Genomic DNA, 8,834 nt, shown 5'->3' with positions numbered 1-8,834 from the left:
CCTGGTTTTTCTCCTCCTTGCTTGTCCGGGCTGGGGGAGCAGGGCCAGAGCTGCAGGATCAGGCTGTGGTTACAGATGGTGATTACAAACATTGGGCCTCAGCCCCAAGAAGCAAGTCCCATTCCACAATGGTGGCCTTCCTCCAGGCACTGGGGGCCTCCTCTCTCTCTGGATCTGCTCAGCTAGAGCTGAGTGGCTGGAATAGAGAGGCAGTGACCCAGGGAAACAGGAGCGAGGAAACTGTTTACTTGGGTTGGGCTCCTGGCAGGGCCTCTGCTGAGTGACTCAAATGCCAATTTACCAAGGCCTTAACAACGATGGCCTCCAGGGGTAGAGTGTAGGGAGATGCTTTAAAGAGGTAGGACACCATTGCTGGGCATGGGGCAACTGAAAACTTTGTTATTGGGGGTTCCTGATTGAAGGGGGAACACCAGAACAGCCTTTTCGTCACTTCTGACTCAGGTATTGGGCAACTGTCCTGGCTGGCCACATGATCAGTGTCACCTGGTTTACTAATAATCAGGAGCTCCTGGCTCCAGGAATAGGCTGGATTTGGACTTTTCTAACCAGCCCTTTTAATCCTGGGCCTAGCTTCAGCCTGAAGGCGGGTGGGGAAGCAACCCAGACAGCAGCTGTCCAGTTCTGTCAGTTCTCTTTTGCCTCTAGAACCATCCCTACCTCCGGGATGTTGTCTCCACCAATCAGCTCCCTCCCCTAACTATGGTCACAAACTAGGAGAATTAGGAGGCGGGGCTGGCCCTGGCCGGGTTGAGAGGCCTGCAGCCCCAGGCCCCAGGAGCCAGACAGGACGCATACCCCGGGGCTCTTCTACTCTTCCTGGCTGCTCAAGCACCGCCAGTCAGATCAAGGCAGCTAACAAACTTGCATGGACCTTTAACTTCCTGCTACTTCTCTTCTGCTTGCTCAGCCACAAATCCCCCAGATGGCTTGGGGAGCCCTGCACTCCCTGCCTTGCACTGTTGTTTTTCCCTCCAGGGTGAGTTGTTATGTAAGAGCAATAAAGAGCTGATAACGGTGGCCTGCATTTTATGGAGATTTTACTATGGGTGTATTTTAAATGCATTCTCCAACTGAATATTCAAATTCAAGCCCCTGATAGGGGACCAGGGAAAGAGAAATACTAAGAAGTTTCCTGACCCAGGAAACCCCAGGGTATACAGCCCCTAAGAGGCCACACCCGACTCAAAACAGGCTTGCCCAGACACTTGAGGTCTTTCTGCGCTTCACAACGCACCACTCTCCCCTTTCCCAGACCTGCACTGGGGCAGGGGTGGGGAAGGGGTTACGAGGTCTTCAGACAACCTACAGGACAGGAGGCTGTAAAGTACAGAAAAAAATTTATTGGAAATCCCTTGAATACATTTTGAAGTGTAGCTCGGTATTTCCAAACAAAGTAGGTTGGAGAGGTTGGAGGAGGAGGAGGGACTCTGACACCTGGAGACAAACAGCTGGTCCCAGCCTGTCCCGGGGGTGCTGCAGGAGTCAGTCTAGGGCTCATTCCTTTCATGGCAGGTCTGAGGGGCAAGGGCTGGCCTTAACAGTTGCTTTACTTCTCCCAAGCTCAGCTCAAAGTCATGGCTGAGACTCTTCACAGATGGAGCCCTGGTGAAAGGCTGCTGCCACCTGTAGATGCCAAAGATTGCTGCCTCAGACAATGGCTAGGCCTTTCCATGCAAGGCCTTGGAAAGAGAGCAGTAGCTGAAATATGGGGGCATCAATAACTTACCAGGGGCCTTCCCCCTTCTCAAAGCTGGGGCCTTGGGGATAAACCTGAGCCTGGGTTCAGCAAGCCACGCATGTGCTCTGGGCCAAAGTCAGGAGGGCCAGTTGGCTGCTACTGCTTCTGCTAACACTTCTTGGTGGCAGCAGCAGCACGCAGAGCTCTGGTCCCCGCCAGAGCCTGCTCCAATCCTCAGAAGTCAGCCTTGTATGTGGGAACAGTGTCACATGCAGTATACTAACAAGCAGCTGAGAACCACCTGCTCCACTGAAGCACAGCTGCTGCCAGTGAATGCCCCAGGTGGGCCAGGAGGAATGGAGTAGACCTAGATCTCCTTGACCAGGACTACCAGCGAGGCTGGGAAAGGACAGATCATAGGTGGGTGAGGCTAGGCACTTGACTTATTCAAGTAACAATACCTGAAGGGTTAAGTCAATCATACGCCCAGCTTTGATTTCTCAACCAGAAGCCAATCCAGCTGGTAAACCCCAGGGCAGTGTAGAGAACCTGGGATTAGAGGGAGATGGTAGCTAGGCCCAAGCAGGAGGAAAAGCTCCACAGGACAGCCCCAGGGATCAGGAACAAGTACCCAGGCAGTTGGGGGACACACACAACATCCCCTAACCACTACATGTGGCCATCACATTTAGCACCCAGGACTTCCTGGGCTGCCAGAATGGAGTCAGTCACTCTGCAGAAACTGTGGGAGATGTAAGGCTCTCACCAGGAATACGCAACTATCCAAGGTAAAGCCTTTAGTCAGTTCCAGTGCAGCCACACTGGGAGGTGACTTTGCCCCCGGCCAGCCCTCTTCTTGGATCTCGCTGTCTGTATGGTGGGAAGATCCTCAAAGCAGCAGCCCGGATTCTCAATAACCTCCGGAGGAGGAGGTCTCCGTCCCAGGAAGAGCCCTCCGCCTTCTCCAAGTGAAAAACAACTCACCTCAAACATATTTCCTCTATAAAATATCTGGTTTCTCTGAAAGTAATAAATATTTACCATGTTCTATAACCAAGGAGCAGCAACGGGGGGACAAGAGGAAGAGAACTTTGCTGTGACTCCAAGTGACAAAATCCTAGAGATTCAGGGTGCCATTTTTATTTCCCATGGAGCTGAGGACCTGAGCACAGGCAGCCACCAGGGCTGCTCAGACCCTCCCGACCTTCAGGGGTGGGAGTGGTTTTGGAGTTCTGATCTTGGGTAGGCAGGCCTGTCATATTGCCAGAAATACAGGCATAGAGGCAAGAGAGAGAAGAAGAGGAGAAGAAGATAGCAGGAAGTAAAGGGGACAATGAAGAGAGCTAAGGGACTCCTTCCTTCTTCCTCCTGGCACTGTCTCCTTCCTCTTTCTGCGACTCCACACCAATCTCTTGGCCACCAGCTGGAATGTCAAACAGTGGATGGTGACAGCAGGCAGGGAAGGGGCCAGCTGCAAGGCAGGCCCAGGCAGGAGGCCGGCAGCAGGAGGAACAGGATGACACCCTTGGGAAGCAGTTGGTGATGGGCAGGGCACACAGATGGCCCTGCTGAGGGCTTTTTCGTACGAAGGTTCTTCCCATCTCCAAGGCCAGCACGTGAGTCTTCTCCAACTGGGCACTGGGCTTGACTGCCGCCACGGAGTCTCCAGGAGGTCCAAGAGTAGGGACTTCTGGGTCCCCATGGGAGAAGCCAGCCTCCCTTCCACCTGGCTCAGAGCAGGATGAGGGGTGGGAGCAGCTGATGCATGGGAGGCTGCTTATGCCCTGGGGCCACAAAAAGGGGGTGCTGCTGGGACTCAAGGATACTTTTACTGCAGGGTTTCCACAAAGGCATCAAACTCGCGGACATTCTTCTCATGCACAGCCAGCTTCTCTGGTAATGAGTCCTGTACCGGAAAGAGAGGGAAGAGCCGTTTATTCAGGCAGGGCCTTGAGGAGGCAGCCAGCCCAGTCCCGAAGAGGGGAGGCAGCAAGCAAGACGAAGCTCAGCCCTAGCTGGGCCGAGCAAGTGGGAGAACGCAGGGCAGCTGCGTAGGCACAGGGTAGGGAGGGGTATATGCATCAGGGCTTTGCAGGGGCTGGAGGATTAATGGAACGGCCTTGGGAGTCCAAGTGGGCCACACACTTAACAAAAGAGAAAAGGACCACAAGAGCAAGATGATTCAGAAATTAAACATGAAATATCCCTGGCACAGATCTGACTGACACTAGAATAAAATACCAAGTGTACAGCTCTACAAATTAAACAGTTTACAAAAGATTTCTTCACACCCTTTGCTGGGCATCGGGACCCCCTGGGGGGAATGTGAACCAGGTGGCCCCACTATACTACTGACATTCTGACACAGTAGCAGGTCTGTGGTAAGGCCTAGGAATCTGTATTTTTAAATTTTTTTCTTGAGACAGAGTCTCGCTCTGTCACCCAGGCTGGAGTGCTGTGGTGTGATCTCAGCTCACTGCAACCTCCGCCTCCCGAGTTCAAGCAATTCTCTGCCTCAGCCTCCTGAGTAGCTTGAGTAGCCTCCTGAGGCGCCCGTCACCAAGCCCAGCTAATTTTTTGTATTTTTAGTAGAGACAGGGTTTCACCATGTTGCCCAGGCTGGTCTTGAACTCCTGATGTTGTGATCCACCCGCCTCGGCCTCCCAAAGTGCTGGGATTACAGGCATGAGCCACTGCACCCGGCCAGAATCTGTTATCTTTATACCAGCTGAGGAAGGGGTGAGTTAGAGATTGAGAGAGAATGGTAAAGACAGAAGCAGAGGAAAACAGAACTGTGAGAAGTTTAACTGTCCTAGAGTATCAACTATTAATAAAAATGCGTCTCTACTGATGACTAAATGAACAGAAGCTGCATCTGCAGAGTTTCACCATCACAATTTCCTGCCAGTAGGGGTTTAAACACGACCACAAGGGAGCGTGGAGAGTCTCTTGCCTCAGAGTTTTTAATGTGGCCTGGAGACACCAACAGCTGAGGGTGGTTTGGGTGCAGCTTCCTGAAAGGAGAGGGAGGCCTCAGAACTGGCTACGGCTGTGGCATCAGTTGAGAGAATTGGAGCCACACTTTCTTCCAAGTGCATGTCATGATAGGCAAGGGAGTTTAGTGGTTAAAAGGCTAAATTGAGGAACCAGATCCTCTAAGATCAAGCAAAGCTTTGTTTTGCCTGGGTCTGTGTGACTATGAGCAAGCTAATCATTGTTGGTTTTCTCATCTGTAAACTGGGATGAGAAAACTTACCTCTTAGGGCTGTTGAAGATTCATGTAAAACACTTAGAAAAATGCCTGGCACTCAAAAAGCCTTGATTTTTATTTATTTATTTATTTGTTTTTGAGACAGGGTCTCACTCTGTCACCTAGGCTAGAGGCAGTGGCGCAAACATGGCTCACTCCAGCATTGACTTCCCCAGCTCAAGCAAGCAATCCTCCTGCCTCCACCTCCCAAGGCAGCTGGAACTACAGACGGATGCCACCACGCCCAGCTAATTTTTTGTACTTTTTGTAGAGACAGGGTTTCACCATGTTGCTCAGGCTGGTCTTAAACTCCTGAGTTCAAGTGAAGGCCTCCTCAGCCTCCCAAAGTGCTGAGATTACAGGTGTGAGCCACTGTGCCTGGCCCAAAAGGTCTTGGTAGTAGTAATTATTACTTTTTTTTTTTTTTTTTGAGATGGAGTCTCACTCTGTCACCCGGGTTGGAGTGCAGTGATCCAATCTTGGCTCACTGCAACCCCCACCTCCCAAGTTCAAGTGATTCTCCTGCCTCTGCCTCCCGAGTGGCTGGGATTACAGGTGCCCGCCACCATGCCTGGCTAATTTTTGTATTTTTAGTAGAGACGGGGTTTCACCATGTTGGCCAGGCTGGTCTCGAACTCCTGACCTTGTGATCTGCCTGCCTTGGCCTCCCAAAGTGCTGGGATTACAGGCGTGAGCCACTGCACCTGGCTATTACTGTATTGTTATTACTGGGCATGCTTTTCTCCTTAAAGCAAATCCAGGGCAGCTACCATAGGATCTTAATATCTATTTAGGAGGTGATCATTCCACCTCAAAGAGGGACATCTCCTGGCATGGGGCACCCAGTTTGTGGCTTGTGCGGGGCACTCTTCTGCCCCTCAGAGGCAGGAAGAGGAAATGCCCTAAGCAGAGATGGGGTCATTATAATCAGTATCAGGACATCTGGTCAAGTGTGAGAACTGCTAGATGACGGAGTGAGCTCTCTGAGGAAAGAGCAAGAACACAGATACTCAGGACCTCACAATCTCCTCTGCCCAGTACCACTGGCATCTGCCTGGAAAGCTAAATAGCTAATGCAATGGCTGTTAGAGCAACTTGGCCTAGTGGCATCTGCAAGGAGAAGACGTCAGGCACAGAACAACAGGAGCATGTAAGTAATGCTGAGAATGTGCAGAGAAAGAAGGAACCAAGCTCAAGCAAATTCCAGATAATGACTGCTGGGCACAATGCCAATCTCAAGAGTGATCAAAAGATAATTTTCTAATTATGTCTCTTTCCTATTACAGGGAAGATAGAAGGTGGTAGGCCTCCTAGGCCTTTGGCAAAGGAATGACCATCAAATAAGGATGCACTGTGGTAGAGGAAGACGTTTCCATACCAAGTCTTCAGCCATGGACTGTGCTCCAATATCTATGGAGAGGCTGCTCAGCTGAGGTGGGTTCTGAAACTCCCGATAGAAGGTCCCCAGGTCCATCGGAAGAATGTCATCTTTAGAAAAAGCTGGTTTCTTCAAAAACAAGACAGAGTCAGTTTAGCTTGCCTTGAACCACAGAGGAGATAAGCTATGAACAAGTCTTTCCTTCTAGCAATTATCAAAAGGTTCTTTCAGGCTTATCTTAGGGAGAGAAATCTTTACACTTTTCTCTCCCAGACTGTTCACTTCTAATGCTGGTGATAATATTCCTCTCCACTAGTTAAGTTTATGTCCCACTCCTTCAAACTCCTTGCCTAGCCACGAATAGGACCTAAGTGGGTATCAGTGGAAAATCTCCATTTAGAGTTGAATTTCATTATGAATTTTAACCAAAGGCATGACAAAAAATGCCTTGTTGTTTATCGGCCTCCAAAATGTCTCCCCAGACCAGACTCCACCTGTCCATCCCTTCTGTCTACACCAGCACATCTGATCCCTATGAAGGAAATCTGGATCAAGTGCAGTAGATGCTTCTAGGTCTAGTTCCCCGGGACAGCAAAGGTCAAGGAAGGTGACGGCGACTTACAAAGTCTATCATAACAAAGTCATCATGGGTATTGCCACTGCTGCCCCCGCTGGAGCCATCTGAGTGCAGGCTGCCCTGGAGAGGAGATTCAGTCTCTGGGGAATCTGGAGGATTCACCTGTTTCATAGCAAGGCAGGATTAGGGCTGATGCTGTGACCCAGATTCAAGTTACTGTAAACAATCTGAAAATTCTGGGAAGAACTTAATGCTGGCTACAAACCCGTAAGCCGAGGGGCCATGGTTTATAGTCTGTGGGGGATTAGTGACTCTGGCTCAGGAAGAACAATGACTAGCGCACCATCTACTGGGAACTCGTAGTCAACGGTGGGCTCACCATTGGATCGGTATCCTCCAGCTCCAAATTCTTGGGAGCAAACATGGCAAAGGGTATATCCAAACTCGTCAGGGTCACCTGAAGAGACACAGGAGAAAAGCATTCATGCCTGCCCCTCCTGCAGTGTTCATGCTTCCTTCCTGGTTGCCAGAAGCCTAGAGGTCCAGCAAGTTCACACAGCTATGCTGACCATGCTGCCCCTTAGGCTCCTGCCTTGTTAGAGGCTCTCCAAGCTCGCTCACCTCCCTGTCCCCCATCACATACACCCACAGCATAAACAAGGGTTGGGGTCCTGAGGACCCTGGGAATTCAGCTTTGGAAGCCTGATCCACAGTAATGCAGTAATAATGTGCTTCACTGGCCCCGCTGAGGAGGAACCTCCTAGTTCAATTCAAATAAGGCCGAGGCAATGACACAGTGTAGTGTTTTTGTACTAAATGGTATCTAGGTCTAGTCTCCCTTTCTTGTAGGAGGCTTTAAAAGGTCACAGGACAATAGTTCTTAACTTATTCTGGAGGGGTAGCACAGGTTATTAATCCTCTTCACAGAAAAATTTACACACACATACAGTTTTGCATGCCAGTTCAGTAGTTTCATATATATTAATATCTCAGGTTAAGAAAACTGCCTGTGGGGCCTTACTCTAAGAACTCAGACATTCTCACAGGTGGCAGTGGCAGAAAAATCACCTGGTTAATGGGTTTGTTGACAAAAGCCCCCACTTTTCGGACAAAGATGGTCTCCAAGACATCGTGAGGGGAGGCCCGTCCCTCACTGCTGTTTGATACGGTTTCAGTATCCTCACTGGAGGAGAAAGGTGAAGTTAGTACTCGTTCTCAAACCACAGCAGGACGACTTAGTTCACTATAAATACACCATCTGGTGGGGCTGTGGCCTAGGGCAGGAGTTGGTCCCCACTGGCCCATCAATGGGAGATGGCATTATGTGGTCTGGCTGATGCCACTATTGCCCTGCCTTTTGAGTTGATTGTAGAGGGCTGCACTTCCTGGAACTACTAAAATTTCTAGCTTTTCTTCTTCTTTAGTTCCAAATTTGATTCCTTAGCCTGCCAGAGATCTCTTCACCCTTGACAAATTGCCTGGGCTAAGGTTCTCTAGGCTCCCTGCCATGTTTCCTCCCCTCTCCTCGCCCCCAATCATCCCTCCCTCAACTAAAGGTCTTTGAATGACATATTTAATTTGGCTGTTCCCACTCCCTCCTTCCCCAGCCTTTCAGACTGAAGCTGAGTCCTGCACAGGGGGCCCTAAGCAGCAGCAGTGGGGGCCCATGGCTGTGGCTGCCAAACCAGCAGTCACAGCCCTGCAAGCAGCAAGGGTTAGGAAAAGTCCTCTGGCCAAAAACGGGGATTCAAGGTGGGCAGGAGGATTGTGCAGTCAAGTGGCCCCTGGACTCCAGCCAGCAGGGAGGACCTGTACTATGCAAAGGCTTTTGAGCTCTTATGACCTCCATTTAAGAATTTCCACACAGGGGCCTCTGTCTTTAGCTACTCCTGGATATGTCCCAAGAGTCAAGGCTCAGAAAACTAGAGTG

The 8,834-nt window shown here is 50.4% G+C and overlaps 1 protein-coding gene across 54 annotated transcripts in view; it reads right to left on the bottom strand.

Moving 5' to 3' along the window:
* The window catches only part of ATG13 (autophagy related 13), a 56,966-nt gene continuing 49,473 nt past the window's right edge, over positions 1,342-8,834 (bottom strand). For 47 of the 54 annotated variants that reach the window (NM_001346319.2, NM_001346328.2, NM_001346315.2 and 44 more), the window contains 5 exon segments: positions 1,342-3,605; positions 6,328-6,456; positions 6,950-7,066; positions 7,284-7,361; positions 7,973-8,087. In NM_001346319.2, coding sequence (NP_001333248.1) covers positions 3,528-3,605; positions 6,328-6,456; positions 6,950-7,066; positions 7,284-7,361; positions 7,973-8,087 — 517 coding nt within the window. In that variant the 3' untranslated portion in view covers positions 1,342-3,527. 54 annotated transcript variants of the gene reach the window in all.

This window comes from Homo sapiens, chromosome 11 (genome assembly GCF_000001405.40).
Source record: "Homo sapiens chromosome 11, GRCh38.p14 Primary Assembly".
Classification (NCBI taxonomy): domain Eukaryota; kingdom Metazoa; phylum Chordata; class Mammalia; order Primates; family Hominidae; genus Homo; species Homo sapiens.
This window is presented reverse-complemented; position numbering and strand designations above follow the sequence as displayed.